The sequence below is a fragment of the Homo sapiens genome, chromosome 6 (genome assembly GCF_000001405.40).
Source record: "Homo sapiens chromosome 6, GRCh38.p14 Primary Assembly".
Taxonomy (NCBI): domain Eukaryota; kingdom Metazoa; phylum Chordata; class Mammalia; order Primates; family Hominidae; genus Homo; species Homo sapiens.
The window spans coordinates 106636581-106658915 of NC_000006.12; the positions used below are offsets into that span (position 1 = coordinate 106636581).

Below are 22335 nucleotides of genomic sequence, written 5' to 3' on the forward strand. Positions count from 1 at the left end.
AGTGCTGGGATTACAGGCATGAGCCACCGCGCCCAGCCAGCTCTACTGCTTTTTAGCTATGTGACCTCAGGTAGGAACTTCAGTTTTTTTATCTGTAAATGGAGATAATAATAGCTTCTCAGTGTGGATGTAAAGATTAAATGATATATTAAGCACTGAGGACAATGTCTAGAACTAAGTACTAGCTATTATTAACATTAATTTTGTTACAGGGACAAAATTACTAAATTATATGTATTTGCATTTTTCCCTTCCTTTACTTTCTAAGAAGAGTGGTTCCTGAGCAAGATTTTAAAATTTTTCTAAGGAGGTATATTAGTTGTCTATGGCTGCATAAAAAATTACTATAAACTTTGTGGCTTAAAATAACATAATCTCAGGATCTCACAGTTTTCTGGGTCAGAAGTCAGGGCATGGAGTAGCTGGGTCCTCTACTCAGGGTCTCACAAGGCTGAAATCCATGTGCTGCAGTTGCACTGCAAGGTGTTGCTAGGGCTAGAGTTCCATCTGGAGCTCCAGCCCTCTCGACCTCGTTGGTTTCTGGCAGAATTCATTTCCTGTGGTTGTGGAACTAAGGTCCGATTTTCTGCTGGCTGTGTGGATAGTAAAGTAAGTGAGCTGAAGGGCTGGAGACATGGGATGGCTGGAGTTGACATTTTGGAGATCAAACGGATGTTAGTAATGATGTATATAGTCTAGACAGTGACCAGGAGAGTTGGCAACTGGGGTGAGGTGAAGGAAAAGCTTGTGCAAAGTGAGATCAAAGAACTGAAAAATCAGATGTTGGTGTACATGGACTTGAAATATGATGTGAACAAGGGAGAGGATAGGAGCAATAGTAACAAAGATGACAGTGTGCTAGCCAGCAAAATTGTCAATGAATGAAAAGTAGTACCAGGAAGGCTATAGGTCAGCATACTGGGGAGCGTGGTGTCATCTCCCAAGGCATGTGCTTTGGGTGAGCGGAATGTTTGAGAGAAGAGGGAAGAGAAGCATTGAGGAACAAGGAGATCATCTTTCCCCTCTCCCACTCTGGACTCTGTGGTATGTGGTAGGTAGGCACTAAACAGGAGAAGCAGCGGCTGCCAGGGAAGACCTAGTTTCCATTAGAGAAAAGATGTGCCAGAGAGAGAATTTTTTTTCTTTTAACGAAAACTTAAAAGTTAACTTCGTTTTATATTCAGATTTGACACCTGCAGTTTTGTCCTGGGGAACTGTATATGTGATTTATGTTTCCTGCTTCTTATGCTCAGTCCATTTAGCTGATTAGCATCTTTGTTTTCACTTCTCTTCTCCACTTCCCTTATTGATTTTTTTTCTCAAATCTAGAGTTCCTAAAAATGGTCTTAATGCAAATCGGCACCATTTAAAGTGAATATCCTAGACAATCTTATTTCTTGCTGTTCAACCACAATTGTAACACCTTAGCTTTTATCCTTATACCAGTCTGGAAGCAGCTTGAGGATTGTAGGCATTAGGGGACTTGAGAGGAGTCAAGGAAGGAGAGAAAGTGGCAAATGCAGTTTTCCTCATTGTTACAACTTAGCCATGGGATGGGCCTGCCTACGTATATTTGTCTCTCTAGCTCTGGGTTTTTGTTAGTTCTAACTCTCTTCCACCCAGCCTACTACCATCTTTGTTCTTCCCATTCCATATACATGATGTTAAAACGCACTGCTCTCTTTTATTCCTTCTAGCTTCTTTCTTCTAGAGGGTTTACATTTCTTTTTTTTTCTTTTTTGAGACAGAGTTTCGCTTTTGTTGCCCGGGTTGGAGTGCATTGGCACGATCTCACCTCACCGCAACCTCTGCCTCCCGGGTTCAAGCGATTCTTCTGCCTCGGTCTCCCGAGTAGCTGGGATTACAGGCATGCACCACCACGCCTGGCTAATTTCGTATTTTTAGTAGAGATAGGGTTTCTCCATGTTGGTCAGGCTGGTCTTGAACTCCCAACCTCAGGTGGTCTGTCCATCTCGGCCTCCCAAAGTGCTGGGATTACAGGCGCGAACCACTGTGCCTGGCCAAGGGTTTACCTTTCATACAAACCATTAGACGAACTCTCTCTTCTTGTTACTATAAAAGTCACTTCCTTAAATCGGACCTTGCTGCCCTCCTTATCCCTGCAGCAGTCCTGCAGCCTCCCCATGGAAGTCCTTTTCCTCTTGTCGGTGAGCATTAGGGATCCTCTTGATGACCTCTTCCCACTGCTTGTTGCATTTAAAACCCTCAGCCCCAAGAATGCCATTGCGTTGATGATTTACTCAGTAGCTAAGAGCAGATCATTTGGAGATTTTCCCCTCAAATGCAAACTTCTGTTGCTTTATGGAACACGTGAAAACACTGTCAACTTGGAGGACAAACTAAGCTTCCAATAGAGTAGAGATAGAAATGGTGAAGACTGTATATTATGAGGTCACCTTGTCCTTTACTATTTGTGTGACTTTGGGCAAATCACTCAAGGTTTCTGAGCTTCAGTTTCTTTATCTGTCAAATGAGATAAACAGTACCTAACTTGTGTGGTTATTTGTGTGTTTTGTTGTTTTTTTTTTTTTTTTTTTTTTTTTTTGACAGAGTCTGGCTCTGTCACCAGGCTGGAGTGCAGTGGCGCGATCTTGGCTCACTGCAACCTCCGCCTCCCAGGTTCAAGTGATTCTCCTGCCTCAGCCTCCCAAGTAGCTGGGACTACAGGCACGTGCCACCACACCTGGCTAATTTTTGTATTTTTAGTAGAGACAGAGTTTCACCATGTTGGCCAGGATGGTCTCCATCTCCTGACCTTGTGATCTACCCGCCTTGGCCTCCCAAAGTGCTGGGATTACAGGCATGAGCCACTGCGCCCGGCCAGTGTGGTTGTTTTAAGGGTTAAATGAAGTAATAATGCATGTAAAGCAACAGTGCCTGGCTCTTGGAAAATACTCGGTAAATACTATTCCTTCCCCTATTCTCCTTTTCTCTCAGCTCCCATCTAATTCAATTATCTTTTCATAAAATCTCCAAAGTTTTGGTGTCATCTTTTACTTATTGTTATTCATCCCTTTTATCTGATTAGTAAGTACATGTTATTATTACTTCCTACAGGAAATATTAGACACTCATCACTCCATCTTAGGCCCTACTTCCTGTCAATATACACTGGTATTCACTACTTCCCAGTCACTTTCGGTGCAGTTTTTTTTTAACTCCTTCTTTACCAGCCTTCCCAATGTCTTCCCTAAAGACAGAATTTCAGAAAAGTTTGTTTTTACTTTGCCTTTGAACCCGTATTTTATAAGCATTTCTCTTAATTCATAGTGTCTCTTACTCGAACTCCACAATAGGTATAAAGATCTTATTTAGAGAGCCATAAAAATCCTGCAATGCCTCGTCCAGTTCACTTCTCTTTTTTTCTCTCTGGACTGCCTGTGTTGCAGCTAAGCTACCCTCTGTACAGAATCTGCCCTCAGCCATCCTTCACCCATGCTGGGCCTCAACTCCCCCTGGACAGGATGGTTTACCTAACTTACTGCCGTTGTTTGTACAGCCTGACTTTGAAACCAAAAGTTGGCTAAGGAGAAGAATGTCATGTCCTCCACCTGTCCTCAAGCTGATCAGTGCATCACCCTTCATCCACTACACTAAGTGTAGAGGTAATAGGTTCTCTTGATTTTGAACCCAAGCCTCACTTTAAAATGTTATACTTAGCCACTCCATCTCCCCCCACCCCCACCAATATAACAATTGAAACTTCTGCAGACTCAGTAAAAGGTTTTTGAATTGTATACACTATAGGTTTCTGCGGCACTGAAACAAGGCCAAATTACACCAACAGAGCTCTGTCAAAAATGTCTCTCTCTTATCAAGAAGACCAAGTTTCTAAATGCCTACATTACTGTGTCAGAAGAGGTGGCCTTAAAACAAGCTGAAGAATCAGAAAAGAGATATAAGAATGGTAAATTGCTTTTAACTATACTTAATTGTTATATCTCCAGAGAAGTTTAATTGTTTGTAGCAGTCTCCATTTGGCAAGTGAAGCTTTAAACATAAACCATAGCCTTATTTAAAGAACTTGCCATGAGGATAATAAAAATGAGGGTAATGGCTATGTGATGCTTCATAATGTCCAACTGTATTAATTTCTGCCATAAATTTGTTTTCTGAAGAAGTATCTTTGCCAAAAACTAGTAGTTACTGTAATAACATGTATTCATGTATCTTTATATTTTAAACTATCTCCTTTATCACTCTTTTGGCTTTTTAATGCAGGACAGTCACTTGGGGATTTAGATGGAATTCCTATTGCAGTAAAAGACAATTTCAGCACTTCTGGCATTGAGACAACATGTGCATCAAATATGCTGAAAGGTAAAGTTTAACTGATCAGAGCATTGATAATTTTATAAAAATAGGTATTTTTCGCTTTAAGGATAATAAAGTACCAAGATAATCTCAGACTAATTATATCTTTGAAGGAAATATTTAGAATATAATATCATGTTTTTTTACTATTTGCTCTTTTAGAATGCAGAATTTTTCTTTAGAGGTCAGCCAGCTTAATGAATGCTATCTCAGAAGTTTTCAAAAATTCTATTAATATTTAGGAAGACTCAGTTCAATAACTAATTACCAACTGGGTGCATACCTGTAGTCCCAGCTACTTGGGAGGCTGAGGTGGGAGAATCACTTGAGCTCAGGAGTTTGAGTCCAGCCTGGGCAACATAGTGAGACCTCATCTCTAAAAAACGAAATAAAAAAACTGATTACCATAAACGTACTGTATAACCTCTACCTTCAGCTCATTGATAACATGGGAATAAGTATGAACTGGCTATCATCAATACCCTTCTGTGGATGACGTGAGGATTCATTAACATCTACTGACCAGTTATTTTTTATTTCCTGATTCCTCTATCTCTTGTAGCACAGTATGGCAATGCTTAGATTTATTCTTTAGAGTTTGGTCAAAAGAAAGCAGGTTTATCAAGATATTTGGATCCTAGGAAGAAACAGAAATAGAAAAAAGGTTATTCAGAGTACTAGACGCTAAAAATAATATTCTATGAGGAATATGCCCCACCTTCCTCTAATATGCAGACTGTTGTTAATTATTTTGGAATATACGCTAGAGCTTTTCAATAGCTAGAGAAAATTTTAGTTGAAAATAAAGATCTATTTCTACTGGAAATACATAAAAATTACTGTGTGGTATAACATGAGAAGAAAAAATCAAGTACAATGAGCAAAATAGAGATTTACTATTTCAAAAATACTGGGTACATCTCTGACTATCATGCAATATTTTGTAGAACTAACTGGTAAAGTCAGTGTTTTTAGATTATAAAAATAGTGAAGGCACAGACTATCTTTGGAAAACATACATTAGCAGTAGAAAAAAATTACTGGAAGGAAGTACAACTGATTATTTAAATTAGGAATAATTAATACATATCACTATGAATTGCTTAATTGCAGTTTAGACTCTTGATTTTTTGTTTTTTGTTTGTTTGTTTGTTTGTTTAAGACGGAGTCTTGCTCTGTCACCCAGAGTGGAGTGCAGTGGTGCGATCTCGGGTCACTGCAACTTCCACCTCCTGGGTTCAAGTGATTCTCCTGTCTCACCTCCTAAGTAGCTGAAATTACAGGCATGCACCACCAGACCCAGCTAAATTTTATATTTTTAGTAGAGACAGTGTTTCTCCACATTGGCCAGGCTGGTCTCGAACTCCTAACCTCAGGTGATCCGCCTGTCTTGGCCTCCCAAAGTTTTGGGATTACAGGCGTGAGCCACCCCGCCCCGCCGACTCTTGTTTCTTACATATGATTTACATGTTCGCTGTTTTGTTTCCTATAAAAAGGTAACTGGCCTTTTGGCGGGAACCACCATCATCCAGTAATTCACCAAAATGATGAACACAAAGGGAAAGAGGAGAGGCACCCAATATGTGTTTTCTAGGCCTTTTACAAAACAGGGAGTTGTTTGCCATGTACATGTGAACCTATAAGAAAGGTGATGTGGACATCAAGGGAATGGGTATTGTTCAAAAAGGAATGCCCCACAAGTGTTACCATGGCAAAACTGGAGAGTACACAGTGTTCCCCAGCATGCTGTTGGCATTGTTGTAAACAAACAAGGGCAAGATTCTTGCCAAGAGAATGAATGTGCATATTGAGCACAGTAAGTACTGTAAGAGCCGAGATAGCTTCCTGAAACGCATTGAGGAAAATGATGAGGAAAAGAAGGAAGCCAAAGAGAAAGGTACCTGGGTTCAACTGACGTGCCAGCCTGCTCCACCCAGAGAAGCGCACTGTGTGAGAACCAATGGGAAGGCTCCTGAGCTGTTGGAGCCTATTCCCTGTGAATTCATGGCATAATAGGTATAAACAAATAAAAGACTTCTGGACTGTAAAAAAAATAATAGTAACTAAATTTTTTTCAGGTTATATACCACCTTATAATGCTACAGTAGTTCAGAAGTTGTTGGATCAGGGAGCTCTACTAATGGGAAAAACAAATTTAGATGAGTTTGCTATGGGGTAAGTAAAATTGAAATCTTCTCTTGAGTTTCTTCTGTCTGTGCCTTTATTTTCACTAAATGTAGTTACCTAAAAGGATTGAGGATCTAATGCCAGTTTCTTAGTCCCTCTGTGAGATTATGTTATGTTGTTTAATAGATATATAGTCATCTCTAATTTTGCTTTTGGCTTGTATTTCCCTGATGACTAATAATGTTAAACATCTTTTCATGTGTTTATTTTGCCATCCCTATGTCTTCATCAGTGAAGTAGCTTTTCAAATTCTGTGCCCATTTTTTGAAATTGGGTCATCTTATTATTGAGTTGTAAGAATCCTTTCTGGCTCATGACTGTAATCGCAGCACTTTGGGAGTCCGAGGCAGGTGGATCAACTGAGGTAGGGAGTTCGAGGCCAACCTGACCAACATGGAGAAACCCCGTCTCTACTAAAAACACAAAAATTGCCTGGGTGTGGTGGCGCATGCCTGTAATCCCAGCTACTTGGGAGGCTGAGGCGGGAGAATCGCTTGAACCCGGGAGGCGGAGGTTGCAGTGAGCCGAGATCGCGCCATTGCACTCCAGCCTGGGCTACAAGAGTGCAACTCTGTCTCAAAAAAAAAAAAAAAGAATTCTTTCATATATTTTGGATTCAAATCCATTATCAGATAGGTGCTGATTTGCAAATATTTTCTTCAAGTCTCTGGTTTATCTTTTTATTCTCTGAACATGCCTTTCAAAGAGTAAAAGTTCTTAATTTTGATAAAGTCCAGTTTATCAATTTTTTTCTTTTTTCTCTTCTTTTCATTCTTTTTTTTTTTTGAGACAGAGTTTTGCTCTTGTCATCCACGCTGGAATGCAATGGTGCGATCTCGGCTCGCTGCAGCCTCCGCCTCCCAGCTTCAAGCGATTCTCCTGACTCAGCCTCCCAAGTAGCTGGGACTACAGGCATGCCCCACCATTCCCAGCTAAGTTTTGTATTTTTAGTAGAGATTGGGTGTCGCCATGTTGGCCAGGGTGCTCTTGAACTCCTGACCTCAGATGATCCACCTGCCTTGGCCTCTCAAAGTGCTGGGATTACAGGCATGTGCCACCACGCCCGGCCTTCTTTTCTTTCTTTCCTTTTGTTTTCTTCCTTTCATATAGACAGGGTCTCACTGGGTTTCCCAGGCTGATCTCAAACTCCTGGACTCAAACTGTGCTCCCAGCTTGGTCCAGCAAAGTGTTGGGAGGCAAAAGCAACTGTGCCAGGCCCATTTTTTCCTTTATTTTTTAAAGATGGGGTTTATCTGTGTTACCCAGGCTGGTCTTGAACTCCTGGCATCAAGTGATCCTCTGACCTCATCCTTCCGAGCAGCTGGGACTGCAAGCACACATCACCTCACCTGGCTGAATTTTTTTCTTTTATGATTCATGTGTCCTAAGAAATCTTTTTTGTTTGTTTGTTTGTTTTTTGTTTTTTGAAGCACAGTTGTGCTCTTGTTGCTCAGGCTGGAGTGCTTGGAGTGCAATGGCACGATCTCGGCTCACTACAACCTCCGCCTCCCAGGTTCAAGCGATTCTCCTGCCTCAGCCTCCCGAGTAGTTGGGATTACAGGCACGCACCACCGGGCCCAGCTAATTTTGTATTTTTAGTAGAGATGGGGTTTCACCGCGTTGGCCAGGCTGGTCTCAAACTCCTGACCTCAGGTGATCTGCCCGCCTGGTCTCCCAAAGTGCTGGGATCATAGACGTGAGCCATCGTGCCTGGCCAAGAAATCTTTACCTAACAAAGGTCACAAAGAATTTTTTCCTAGAAGTTTTATAGTCTTAGCTCTTACATTTAGATCTGTTATTCACTTCGAATTAGATTTTCGTATATAGTATGAATAAAGTCCATTTATTCAACATATGGATGTCCATTAACTCCAGCACTAATAATAAAAAAGATTATCCTTTTCTTGTTGAATGATCTTAGGTTTTTTTGTCAAGAATCAAGCACATTCAGTAGGTCTGTTTCTGGACTCTGTTGCATCTCTGTTTATTCCAGTGTCACACCATCTTGATTATTATAGCTTTATAGTAAGCCTTGAAATTATGTAGTAAGAGTCTTCTAACTTTGTTCTTCTTTTTCAAAATCATTTTACATAATCTAGATCTGTTATATTCTGATATGTTTTAGAATAAGCTTGCTAATTTCTACAAACAAGTTTAATGGGATTTTGATTGTGATTGTGTTGAATTTATAGATCAACTTGGAAAGAATCGGCATCATAATACATGTCTTCTCATACATTTTGTTTTACTCTGGAATGTTTTTATGATTTCCTGCATATAAATTGTACATATAATTTGATTTATTCGTGTGTTTTATGTTTCTTTTCTTTTTTTTTTTGAGACAGAATCTCACTCTGTCACCCAGACTGGAGTGCAATGGTGCAATCTCGGCTCACTGCAACCTCTGCCTCCTGGGTTCAAGAGATTCTCCTGCCTCAGCCTCCTGAGTAGCTGGGACTACAGGCACATGCCACCACGCCCGGCTAATTTTTGTATTTTTAGTAGAGACAGTGTTTCACCATATTGGCCAGGCTGGTCTCAAACTCCTGACCTTGTGATCCGCCCGCCTCGTCCTCCCAAAGTGTTGGGATTATAGGCGTGAGCCACCGCCCCCAGCCATGTTTCTTAATGCTATAGAAAATTGTATTTTTTTCAGTTTCTAATTGTTTATTGCTAGTACATTGAAACATAATTGATTTTTCTATATTGACCTTTTATCCCATGACCTTGTTAAAGCTTGCTTATTAGTTCTAGTTGATCTTTGTGGATTCTGTGGAATATTTTATGTAGCAAATTGTGTAGTCTACAAATAGAGTTAGTCTTATTTCTTCTTCTTGCCTTACTGCACCAGTGAGGGCCTTAGGTGCAATGTTGAATAGAAGTGGTGAGAGCAGATTTCCTTGCCTTGATCTTGATCTTAGGGAACAGCAGTCTTTCACCAAAAGTACTTTATACTTACCCTTTTATGACACTTGTCACATTTGTAATATTTGCTTGGTCATTGTTCTCTGTTTCATAGAAACAAGAGTCCTTGCGTGTATAGTTCAGAGTGGTATATCTTGGAATTCATTATATATATGTTGAATGAACTAATCCATGAGAGTATATTTGAACAAAGGCTTTCAGGAAATTGCCTTCATCAGCTGATCAAAATTAACATCACCAGTGAGGGTGAAGTGGACGTTATGTGCCTCCAGATGTAATTGTCTGAGGATACAATATCACCTATGTAATATTCCAGCTGAGAATGTGTAAGCTGACTCTAATAATGGGGAAACAAAAGATAAATCCAAAATGAGAACCATTCTATTAAAATATCATATGAAAACAAAAAAAGGGCTGTGAAAATCTTCCAGGATAAGAGATAAAGAAAGTAAAACCTAACATCATAAAACTCAAGAAAATGTAGGGGATGCTGGGCCTGGTGGCTCATGCCTGTTATCTCAGCACTGTGGGAAACTGAGGCAGTAGGATTGCTTGAGCCCAGGAGTCCTAGATCAGCCTGGGCAACATAGTGAGGCCCTGTCTCTACAGAAAAAAAAAATTAAAAAAAACAGGGAAAAGTATTAGTGACCTTGAATTAGTCAGAGTTCTTTTAGATAGGACACATGAAGCACAAATCCACTTAAAAAATTGATAGACTTGGCCGGGCACGGTGGCTCACACCTGTAATCCCAGCACTTTGGGAGGCCGAGGCAGGTGGATCACAAGGTCAGGAGATTGAGACCATCCTGGCTAACACAGTGAAACCCTGTCTCTACTAAAAATACAAAAAATTAGCCGGGCGTGGTGGCGAGCGCCTGTAGTCCCCGCTACTCAGGAGGCTGAGGCAGGAGAATGGCATGAACCCGGGAGGCAGAGGTTGCAGTGAGCCGAAATCACGCCACTGCACTCCAGCCTGGGTGACAGAGCAAGACTCCTTCTCAAAAAAAAAAAAAAAAAAAAAAAAAAAATTAATAGACTTCATTAAAATTAAGAACTTCTGTACTTTGAAATATGCTACTAAAAAAGTGAAAACGCAAGCCACAGACTGAGAGAAAAATATTTGCAAAACATGTATCTCAGAAAGAACCGATATCCAAAATACATAGAACATTTCACACCTCAATAAGAAAACAAGCAACCCTATTTTTAAAAAATGAACAAAAGATTTAAGAAGACGTTTCATCAGAGATTAAAACATAGTTGACAAACACATGAAACAATGCTTAATATCGTTGATCATTAGTGGAATTCAAAATTAAAATCACAGTGAGCTTGGGCACAGTGGCCCACACCTGTAATCTCAGCACTTTGGGAGGCCAAGGCATGGTAGTGGATGCCTGTAGTCCCAGCTACTCGAGAGGCATGAGAATCGCTTGAACCTGGATCACTTGAAACCGGGAGGCGGAGCTTGCAGTGAGCCAAGATCATGCCACTGCACTCCAGCCTGGGCAATAGAGCGAGACTGTCTCAAAAAAAAAAAAAAAAGAGAGAGACAATGATAATTAAATGGAAGACCTGACTCTAGATTTGATCCAGGAAGGAGATAAAATGCCATAAAGTACTTTTTTTTTTTTTTTTTTTGAGATGGAGTCTCGCTCTGTCACCCAGGCTAGAGTGCAGTGGCGCGATCTCGGCTCACTGCAAGCTCCGCCTCCCGGGTTCACACCATTCTTCTGCCTCAGCCTCCCGAGTAGCTGGGACTACAGGCGCCCGCCACCACGCCCGGCTAATTTTTTGTATTTTTAGTAGAGATGGGGTTTCACCGTGTTATCCAGGATGGTCTCGATCTCCTGACCTCGTGTTCCGCCCTCCTCGGCCTCCCAAAGTGCTGGGATTACAGGCGTGAGCCACTGCACCCAGCCAAAGTACATTATTGAATCAGTTGACAGAATTGAATTACATACAGTAGATTCGATAAAAGTATTGTAGGCCGGGCGTGGTGGCTCACCCCTGTAATCCCAGCACTTTGGGAGGCCAAGGCGGGTGGATTACGAGGTCAAGAGATTGAGACCATCCTGGCCAACGTGGTGAAACCCCGTCTCTACTGAAAATACAAAAATTAGCCCGGCGTGATGGCACGCACCTGTAGTCCCAGCTACTCGGGAGGCTGAGGCAGGAGAATTGCTTGAATCTGGGAGGCGGAGGTTGCAGTGAGCCGAGATCGCGCCACTGCACTCCAGACTGCCAGTAGAGCGAGACTCGTCTCAAAAAAGAAAAAAAAAATTATTGTATTGATATTAATGTTACTGAGATTGATAACTATACTGTGACTGTATAATGTGATATCCTTATTGTTAGGAAATACACACTAAAGTATTTAGGGATAAAGGGCTATGATATACATGTAAGTTACCCTTAAGATACCCTTAAGTTTCTATCATACTTTGTGTATATATGTACATATGTACAAACGTACACAGAGCACACAAGTAGTAAAGCAAAGGGATAAAATGTTGACCGTAGGTATGTCTGGGTAAAGGGTATAAAGTGCTTTATATGTTATTTTTATTTTTGCAATTTATCTGAGAATAAAATCATTTCAAAAATTTAAGTTATTAGCATTCCACTTGTAATGTTTTTCATAGAACTTCTGGTTCAGAAGTTCTTAACTGTTTGAATGTAACCCTTTTCAGCTGGAAGACCTTGATTCACAAGGGAAATCATCTTCAGTTGAATTGGATGATCAAAAGAGGCAAAATCTTTTCTTAGCAGATTAGCTTTGTCTATTTTCTACCACAAATGCTCTTCCTTCCCATCCTCCGCAACTGTCAATTAATGAAAGCTACATCTGAACAGGCTTCCCACCTTTTTCAATTCAAGCTACAGTGGGTTCTTAAATGCTCAATGAGTGTCAGAAGCAAATAATATACTCAGAAGATGAAATTTTCACATAAAATGAAAGTTTTACTAAGGTATCTTGCTTCACTTCGTCATCAGATCTGGGAGCACAGATGGTGTATTTGGACCAGTTAAAAACCCCTGGAGTTATTCAAAACAATATAGAGAAAAGAGGAAGCAGAATCCCCACAGCGAGAATGAAGATTCAGACTGGCTGATAACTGGAGGAAGCTCAGGTGGGAGTGCAGCTGCTGTATCGGCGTTCACATGCTACGCGTAAGATGCTTTTCTCTATCTGTATTTTAAAACCCACCCAAATACAAACAGTCATAAACTGTATCCAGCAATAGAGTAGTTCATATCCTGGTATTTTTCTTTCTAGTGAGCTATATGTGCTCAAAGGTATATCAAAATTATATCTTGAGTTGCACTCAACTGTACAGTACACTATGTATATTTAATACTTTTAACTTTAAAATAACAAATTTTTCTCCATAGTATCTGGTTCTCTTAAAATATGATTTTGTGGATCTTGCAGAATAAAGCATCGAACATAAATGAACTTCATTGCATTTCATTTTTAAATAATTTGAGTGTGTGCTCACTGATTATACAAATATTTAGGGACTAACATACAATGGCTTTAGTTGAGTGCTGCTGAACTAAACTGTTGGTAATGTTTATCCTTCAGCAAGATCAATCTTTTGAAAAAAAAGAAAAAATGCTAATATGTATTAATAAGATATTTTAAATAGTGTTTTCAGGAATCTGCAATTAAAAATGTACATCAGTAAGTAAAGTTTTTTCAAGCTTGTTAGGTGCTGATTCTGTTTATCTATCATACTTTGTATTTGGTAAGAATCCATTGATCATATTTTCAGTTCCATTTGTAAAGCATTTCTTAACTACCCAAAGAAAAGAAAGTAAATATGGCTGTTGCTGTGTTTATCAGTCTCAATTTAATCAAAATGAATGTGTTTCTTTAGTAATAGTTTTGTATTTTATCTCCCCTTAATTATCCATTAAAACTAAGTTCTTTCACACACATTGCAATCCATAAATCATTTATATTTTTTTAGAGCTATGGAGATGTGAGTTCTACAGATTTTTTTTCAGTTTTCCTAAAATCTTATTAACAAGTAAAACCATTTCATTTTATCTCTGTGAAATTTTATAGCATTGCATTAATATTAATGTGAGTTCTGACAAGTTAGGACTGCAGGATTAGGTGCTTTTTTTCTGTCCTCATCATCCCACTTAGTGTTCATCTTTCTGAATGTGCTTTTTAGTAGATGGCATTTTGACACATAATTCCTATGGAAATGTAAGTTTTACTTTTACATAGCCGTCAGTGAATGCTAATAAGAAAATGTATCTTTTAAAATTGTGAAAGCAACAGTCTGATTTTGTAGCTTAACTTGACACTGTAAGAAAGGAAATCTAATTTGCATTTTCTGTAGGGCACAAGTGCCATGTTATTGTTAGGAGCATTGTTCAGTCCAAAGCTTCACTTTAAATATAAGCAACAGAAGTACAGACCAAAAATAACTTCAGATTGAATGTATCTCAAACTGTAAAGTGTTCTGCTTTTGTTTCCTTATTTTTGATTTGTTTACCCCTTTTTGATTTGTTTACCCCTTTTTGATTTGTTTCTTTTACAATAGCTTTTAAAATAGGAAGATTCCTGGAGTACTGTGCAGCCACTAAAAAGAATAAGTTAGAGCACTATGCAATGACATGGAAAAATAACCAAGATAAATTGTTAAGTGAAAAATAAGTTGCAGAACCCATTTCTGTTAAAAGTAACAATTGCATAGGTATATATGTCAGTCATTGCATGGAAGTACTGCATGTCTGGATGAATGCATGTCAGAACTGGTAACGGTTATTGTGGGGGCTGTGATTCTAAGAGTAATCTTACTTTATACATCATATAGTTATATAATATTTTAATTTTTATAGTAGATATGTACTGTTCTACAGCACAACTTCTGTTTTCCTGAAATGGTTTTTTAATTGTGGTAAAATGCACATAACATAAAATGTACCAGCCTAACCATTTTTAAAAGTACAGTTCAAAAGTATTAAAAACATGCAATCAGTCTTCAGAACACTTTTCATCTTGCAACGCTAAAACTGTGTACCCTTCAACCCTCTCCCAGCCCTGGTAACCACCTTCTACTTTGTGTCTTATGAATTTGATTACTCTAGTTATCTCATGTACGTGGTGTCATGTAGTATTTGTCTTTCTGTGACTGGCTTATTTCATTTAGCATAATGTCCTCCAGGTCCGTTTTTTGTTTTTTTAAAATAAGAACAACACAAACTCTGTAGGTAACTGGGTAAAGAAATGAACAGTCACTTTGTAGTTGAGTAATGCATGTATAAATAAGTGTGCAAAATTATTTAAAATGCACATTAATAAAAACTTTTTGGTTATCACACTAACAATTTTAAAAATTACTAGTACTCAGTGACGGTACTGAAACTTTAAAACACAATCTGACTCACTGCAACTAGGGATATAAATTGGCATAATCTTTCTGACAAGTAATTTGACAGCATATATCAGAAACTTATGTGCACTAAGTCTACTTCTTGGAAGCTAGCCTAAAAAGTACTCACACATAAGCAAAAATTTATGTTCAGAGATTTTCATAACAAAGTTATTTATTAAATAGTTATTCTAGTTAGAAACAACGTAAGAGTTTAAATTATTAAACATCTCAATCCATGATTCTAAATGGGGTGGGTAGCAAAGGGCTGTATCTGAATTTCTAGGAGGGGCGTATTTAGTCTGTAAAAGCATACTGCAAAATTGCCATTAATTTGATTTGTTTTCAATATCAACATCAGAAGAAAGTGCAAGATTTATATGTATATTGAAAGGAGAATGGACTTTAAAATACCAGGAATCACGAATTTATATGATGGAATATTACATATACTTTACATTTTCAGGAATTTTAATGACATAGTAAAAAGCTAATGTTAAAAAAGGGATGGAAACTCATGATTACAGAATTATCTCAACGGTGAAAAAAATGCATTTTTAAAAAGACTTGAACTTAATATGCCAAAATGTTAACAGTGTTTTCCTCTGGGTATTGGAATATTGAGTACCTAAAGTTTTCTGTACTTTATGAATTCTCTGAGATGAACATGTGTTACTTTTGTGTAATCAGAGGAAAATACAGTTTAAAAATATACAATTGAAAGGGTAGATTCCAAATATAATTAGAGATATATCATTCTTCTAAAGATAATTCCATTTAAATTCCAGGGCTTTAGGATCAGATACAGGAGGATCGACCAGAAATCCTGCTGCCCACTGTGGGCTTGTTGGTTTCAAACCAAGCTATGGCTTAGTTTCCCGTCATGGTCTCATTCCCCTGGTGAATTCGATGGATGTGCCAGGAATCTTAACCAGATGTGTGGATGATGCAGCAATTGTGTTGGGTATTTATATAATTCTATATCATTTGCAACAGCTTCTCTATAAAACAATATATCTGTCATTCATAAGTATTGCTCCTTACAGGTGCACTGGCCGGACCTGACCCCAGGGACTCTACCACAGTACATGAACCTATTAATAAACCATTCATGCTTCCCAGTTTGGCAGATGTGAGCAAACTATGTATAGGAATTCCAAAGGTAACTTTTTCCTTTCATTACTTTACAGAAATACTGTCAAGTCCAATAGAGAGCACAGACTTGGGAGGCGGATTGGGTGGGTTTGAATCTCTGCTCTGCCACTTTTATTAATCATGTGAGTTGAGTATGTGACTTAATCTCTTTTAGCTCAATTTCCCCATCTGTAAAATAGGAATAATAAAAATACTGACTTCAGAGAGGTTTGTGAGGATCAATTAGACAGTCATGTTAAGTCTGTAAATTGTTTCTGTAATGGGCAAGATAGCAAATATTTTAGATTTTGTGGACCATGCAGTCTTTATCATAACTGCTTAACTGCCATTATAGTGAGAAAGCAGCCACAGACAATATGTAAATGAAAAAGTGTGTCTCTGTTCCAATAAAACTTTATTTTCAAAAACCAGCTGGCTTGTCACATCTGGCCTATGGGCCATAGTTTGCCCATCCCTAATGTAAAGAAAGGACTTTAGCCCAAAGCCACAACTTGCATAGTAATGCCTCAAAAAATGTTAACATCTTTACTGTTATTATTATTACTACTGCATCTATTACAGTAGCAATTGAGTAATGAATACATGAATGTTATAATGTTAAATTACTAACCTTTTAAAAATATTAAGCATTGCAATATATTAATACTTTAAATCTTTTAGGAAGATAAGTTACCCTGCAGAATAATGAAGTTTCACAACCTCAGCACTGTTGGTGTTTGGGGCTGGTAATTGTTTGTTGTGGGAGACTGTCCTGTGCATTGTAAGATGTTTAGTAGCATCCCTGGCCTCTACCCCTACATGCAAGTAGTACCCCACCACCAAAACCACAATCCCACAACCAAAAATGTCTGCAGACATTGTCAAGTGTCTCCTGGTTAGGGAAAAGGAGACAAAAGTAACCCCCAGGTAAGACCACTGCTATAGAGAAATACTACCTTATTTAAAATCTTCCATTAAGGTAATATATGTAAGGCCAGGTGCGTACACCTGTAATCCCAGCACCTTGGGAAGCCAAGGCAGGAGGATCGCTTGAGATCAGGAGTTTGAGACCAGCCTGGGCAACATACAGAGCCCTATGTCTACAAAAAGTTTTAAAAAAATTGTGGGGTGTGGTGGTGTGCACCTGTGGTCCTAGCTGTTTGGGAGGCTGAGGGGGGAGGATTGCTTGAGTCCAGGAGGTTGAGACTGCCGTGAGCCATGATTGCACCACTGCACTCCACCCTAGGTGACAGAGCAAGACCCTATCTCAAAAAAAAAAAAAAAAAAAGAAGGCAATATCTGTGCATTCTTTTTAAGCATTTATTTATAGAGAGCATAGGCTTTAAAACAGACCCAGTTTGAAATCCTAGACCCTCTACTTACCTGCTATTTAACATTAGGAAAATAACTTCTTATGTCAAGATTTTTCATTAACAAAATGAAGGATTATAATACCTACATCACAGGCTTGTTAAAAGCATGAGATGAGAGAGAATCTTTGAAAATCATCTAACAGGCTGGGCACGGTGGCTCACGCCTGTAATCCCAGCACTTTGGGAGGCCGAGGCGGGCAGATCACGAGGTCAGGAGATCGAGACCATCCTAACACAGTGAAACCCCGTCTCTACTAAAAAAAATACAAAAAATTAGCCGGGCGTGGCTGTGGGTGCCTGTAGTCCCAGCTACTCGGAAGGCTAAGGCAGGAGAATGGCGTGAACCCAGGAGGCGGAGCCTGCAGTGAGCTGAGATTGCGCCACTGCACTCCAGCCTGGGCGACAGAGTGAGACTCCGTCTCAAAAAAAAAAAAAAGAAAATCATCTAACAGGGTACCTGATACATGAGCATTTAACATATATGCTGATATATGCTGATATGCTGTTAGGTTCCTGATACATAATGAGCATTTAACAAATATTTTCCCCAACCAGATCTCCAATCTTTAATGTTGTTATATCCAGATCATAATATCTAGTACTGTGCTTTGTCATACCATAAACACTCTGAAATGGATTTAGTCTTTCTAGCTACCTACCAGCAATTTTATCCTATTTTCTAATGTATTACCAAAGGTCCTGAAGTACAGATTTTTATAAAATCATCTATACAGATGAAGTACAAATTTTTATAAAATAATCTATACAGTTCCAATTTTGTATCTTGACTTTTTGCTATAAGGAATATCTTGTACCGGAATTATCAAGTGAAGTACAGTCTCTTTGGTCCAAAGCTGCTGACCTCTTTGAGTCTGAGGGGGCCAAAGTAATTGAAGTATCCCTTCCTCACACCAGTTATTCAATTGTCTGCTACCATGTATTGTGCACATCAGAAGTGGCATCGAATATGGCAAGATTTGATGGGCTACAATATGGTAAGATGGCTGGGTTATTTTATTTTTAAGGTAGTTGTCGCAAACATTTGAAAAGTTCACTTATTAGTGACAAAAAAGTTAATGCTTGAGATAATGTTAGTGATTCAGAAAAGTTCATCAGTGAATCATTTTACCTTTGTCATTTTAGACTTGTACTTACACTATTTGTCATAAATATTTGTGTATGTTTGGTTTGCTTCTCAGGACTGTGAATAACTCGAAGGGATAGTATCTTGTTGTCATATGCTCAGTCCCGCTAATGTAGAGCTCAATAAATGTTTGAATGAATGAATGAGGGAGTGAACAATTGGAGTTTCTTTCTTGGTTCTTTTCTTTTCTTCTCTCTCCATGACCAGTCCATCAGTCAAAAGGCAGATGGGGAAAAGAAACCATTAAGGGCAACTCCCTAAACTTTAGTATTGGTGACAAAAATGTGAATCTAAATAAGCCAGGCATGGTGGCGCATACCTGTAATCTAAGCTACTCAGGAGGCCGAGGCAGGAGAATCACTTGACAAGGGAGGCAGAACTTGCAGTGAGCCGAGATTACACCACTGCACTCCAGCCTAGGTGACAGAGTGAGACTCCATCTCAAAAAAAAAAAAAAAAAAAGTGAATCTAGGCCTGATTTTAGCCAAAACTTTACTGACTTTACTTCCTTTCAAGTAATGTTTACCCTTTTCTTGTTTTCAGGTCACAGATGTGACATTGATGTGTCCACTGAAGCCATGTATGCTGCAACCAGACGAGAAGGGTTTAATGATGTGGTGAGAGGAAGAATTCTCTCAGGAAACTTTTTCTTATTAAAAGAGTAAGACAACTCATTTAGGAATTTTCTTCATTCTTGAAACCTCAAGTAACATGTCTCTTATCAGGTCTTATAAGTCAAGGTATTTAGTAAAGAAACAAAATCTTTATGATTTGAATTAGAAAAGACCTGTTTATGGCACTTTTGGGTCCTGGTATTCAAAAACAAAAGAAATGTTGGTACTTTAGCTAAATGATTGGTACAGATTACAGGCAGTCCTCCATATCTGTGGGTTTTGCAACCTTGGATTCAACCAAACACAAATCAAAAATATTCAAAAAATAAAAAATAACACCCAACAATAAAAAGTAATACAAATTAAAAAGCAATACAGTGTAACAACTATTTACCTCGCATTTACATTGTATTAGATGTTACAAGTAATCTAGGGATAATTTTAAACGTGCAGGAGGTGTGCATAGGTTTTATGCAAATACTACACCATTTTATATGAGACTTGAATATCCTCAGATTTTGGTATCCACAGGGGTCTTGGTACCAAACCCCCAACGGACACCAAGGAATGAATGTAAGTAGGAAGCCATTAAGGATTTTAATCTCATTAAATGTCCTTTGGGTATTACCACATTGGTTTATTGCTGTTAGAGCCTTAAGCAGAGAGTTGTATTGTCTCTTGAAAAATGTATTGAATCAACTTAGTTTTTCCTTGTATTATGTATGTCTTTACTCTAAAAAAGAATTCAGAATGACTATGACTCCTCCTTCAATTGTCTTCATTATGAGTTTATTCACGATCTTGTGAACAGGCTTCATCTTCTATACCACCAAGTGTGTCTAAGAGGACATGAGAAGTGTGAAAAAGCAAGATTGGTTATTGTAATGAAGAGCTTCTTGGAGTTTTTCTCCATGCCCTCAAGGGCAGAAGGCATTTTATTCATCTGCGTATCCTCTCAGGGCCGATAGTTAGAATTACTTTTTATTTTTGAGACAGGGTCTCACTCTGTCACCCAGGCTGTAGTGCAGTGAAGTGATCGCAGCTCACCGCAGCCTTGACCTCTTGAGCTTAAGTGATCCTCCCACCTCAGCCTCCCTAGTAGCTGGAACTACAAGCTTGCACCACCATGCCCAGCTAATTTTTGTATTTTCTGTAGAGACGGGATCCTGCCATGTTGCCCAGGCTGATCTCCAACTCCTGGGTTCGAGCAATCCACCCATCTCAACCTCCAAAGTGCAGGTGTTACAGGCATGAGCCACCATGCCAGGCCACAGGATTACTTTTTCTAAGAATACTATTTGAGGCCGGGCCCAGTGGCTCATGCCTGTAATCCTAGCACTTTGGAAGGCCGAGGTGGGCAGATCACCTGAGGTTAGGAGTTCGAGACCAGCTGGCCAACATGATGAAAGCCTGTCTCTACTAAAAATACAAAAATTAGCTGGGCGTGGTGGTGGGCACCTGCAATCCCAGCAACTCGAGAGACTGAGGCAGGAGAATCACTTGAACCCGGGAGGCAGAGGTTGCAGTGAGCCAAGATCGTGCCACTGCACTCTAGCCTGGGCAACAGAGTGAAACTCCATCTCAAAAAAAAAAAAAGAATACTATTTGGTTATGTTCCAGATTAAAAGACTGTTACCATATTGACCAGATGCTTGTAATGACTTTGGAGTAGGAAAACAAAAGGAAATAATTTTCTAAGTGAAAACATTTATTAAGCTAAAGATATTACTTTTGCCAAATATTACTGATTAGAACCATATTGTTTATCTCAGGGCACAAGTTGATGAATTATATAGGTCAATGTAACAGCATAAAAAGAAATTGAAGGAGAGAAGTCAGAAAGCATTCCTCATGATCACCATTTGGGGGTTCTGATAAAAGGAAGTTAAAATTACTGCTGGTATCCCTAGCTCCTGAGTCAGTGCCAAGTTGGGTCAACTTGGGTAGACAAAAGTGATAGGAAAAATGGGATTCGGAATACTTTTTTTATTTTAAAAAGTCAACTTATGTGCCAGGAAGAGTTTATTTATTTATTTTTGAGACAGAGTCTCACTCTGTCACCCAGGCTGGAGTGCAATGGCACGATCTCAGCTCACTGCAACCCTGCCTCCTGGGTTCAAGCAATTCTTCTGCCTCAGCATCCTGAGTAGCTGGGACTACAGGCACACGCCACCACACACAGCTAATTTTTGTATTTTTAGTAGAGATGGGGTTTCACCATATTGGCCAGGCTGGTCTCAAACTCCTGACCTCGTGATCCGCCCACCTCAGCCTCCCAAAGTGCTGGGATTACAGGCGTGAGCCACCATGCCCAGCCAGGAAGAGTTTATTTTTAATTGACATAAATATTTACTTATGTAACACATTTATATCTACCTTTTGCTATTTATCTTCTGTTTGTCCCATCTGTTCTTTTTTCTTTTAACCTTTTCTTCTGCTTTTTTTTCTTTAAATAGTAATTTTTCTCTTAAAAAGATCTAAAATGAGAAAAATAGTGTCATTTATATTTACCTACATATTTAGTATTTCTGGTGCTTTTCTCTCTGCTCTAGAGATATAAATTTCCATCTGGTATAATTTTGTTTTTACTTGAAGAACTTTCTTTAATATTTCTTGTAGTCCTGTTGGCAGTGAATTCTTTCAGCTTTGGTTTATATGTAGAACTCTTTATTTTGCTTTTAATTTTGAAAGATATTTTCTCTGGGTTTAAAAATGTAGGTTAAGCTGGGCACAGGGTACACTCCTGTAGTTACAGCTACTCAGGAGGCTGAGGTGGGAGGATTGCTTGAGCCCAGGAGTGAGAGCCTGCACTGAGCTATAATCGCACCGCTGCACTTAAGCCTGAGCGACAGAGCGAGAGCCCATCTCTTTAAAAAAAAAAAGTATAGGTTGCTTCTTCTTTCTGTACTTTAAAGGTTTTGTCCATTGTCTTCTGGCTTACATAGTTTCTGAGAAGTCTGTTGTCATTCTTATGGTCATTCCTCTGTATATGATGTATCTTTTTTTCCTCTGATTTTAAGATTTTCTTTTTATCATTGGTTTTCAGGAATTTGACTGTGATGTGCCTTGGTGTGGTTCTCTGCATATTTCTTCTTCTGCATAGGGGTTTGTTAAGCAGCTTTGATCTGTTGGGTTATAGTTTTAATCAAATTTGGAACATTTTGGCTATTATTTCCTCAAATATTTTTTCTGTCCTCCATCTGTCTGGGACTCTCTTCACATGTATATTA

At 39.0% G+C, this 22335-nt stretch overlaps 1 protein-coding gene and 1 pseudogene across 2 annotated transcripts in view; both read left to right on the forward strand.

The window, feature by feature from the left end:
• Positions 1-22335, forward strand: part of QRSL1 (glutaminyl-tRNA amidotransferase subunit QRSL1) — a 38840-nt gene that overhangs the window by 7003 nt on the left and 9502 nt on the right. Inside the window, exons 2-10 of one of the 2 annotated variants that reach the window (XM_011535924.3) lie at positions 3521-3626; positions 3769-3928; positions 4243-4341; positions 6414-6510; positions 12445-12621; positions 15629-15804; positions 15887-16002; positions 18150-18342; positions 19035-19152. In XM_011535924.3, coding sequence (XP_011534226.1) covers positions 4332-4341; positions 6414-6510; positions 12445-12621; positions 15629-15804; positions 15887-16002; positions 18150-18342; positions 19035-19152 — 887 coding nt within the window. In that variant the 5' untranslated portion in view covers positions 3521-3626; positions 3769-3928; positions 4243-4331. The remainder of the gene's footprint in view (positions 1-3520; positions 3627-3768; positions 3929-4242; positions 4342-6413; positions 6511-12444; positions 12622-15628; positions 15805-15886; positions 16003-18149; positions 18343-19034; positions 19153-22335) is intronic. The other variant, NM_018292.5, reaches the window with a different exon arrangement.
• Positions 5840-6379, forward strand: RPL21P65 (ribosomal protein L21 pseudogene 65; annotated as a pseudogene).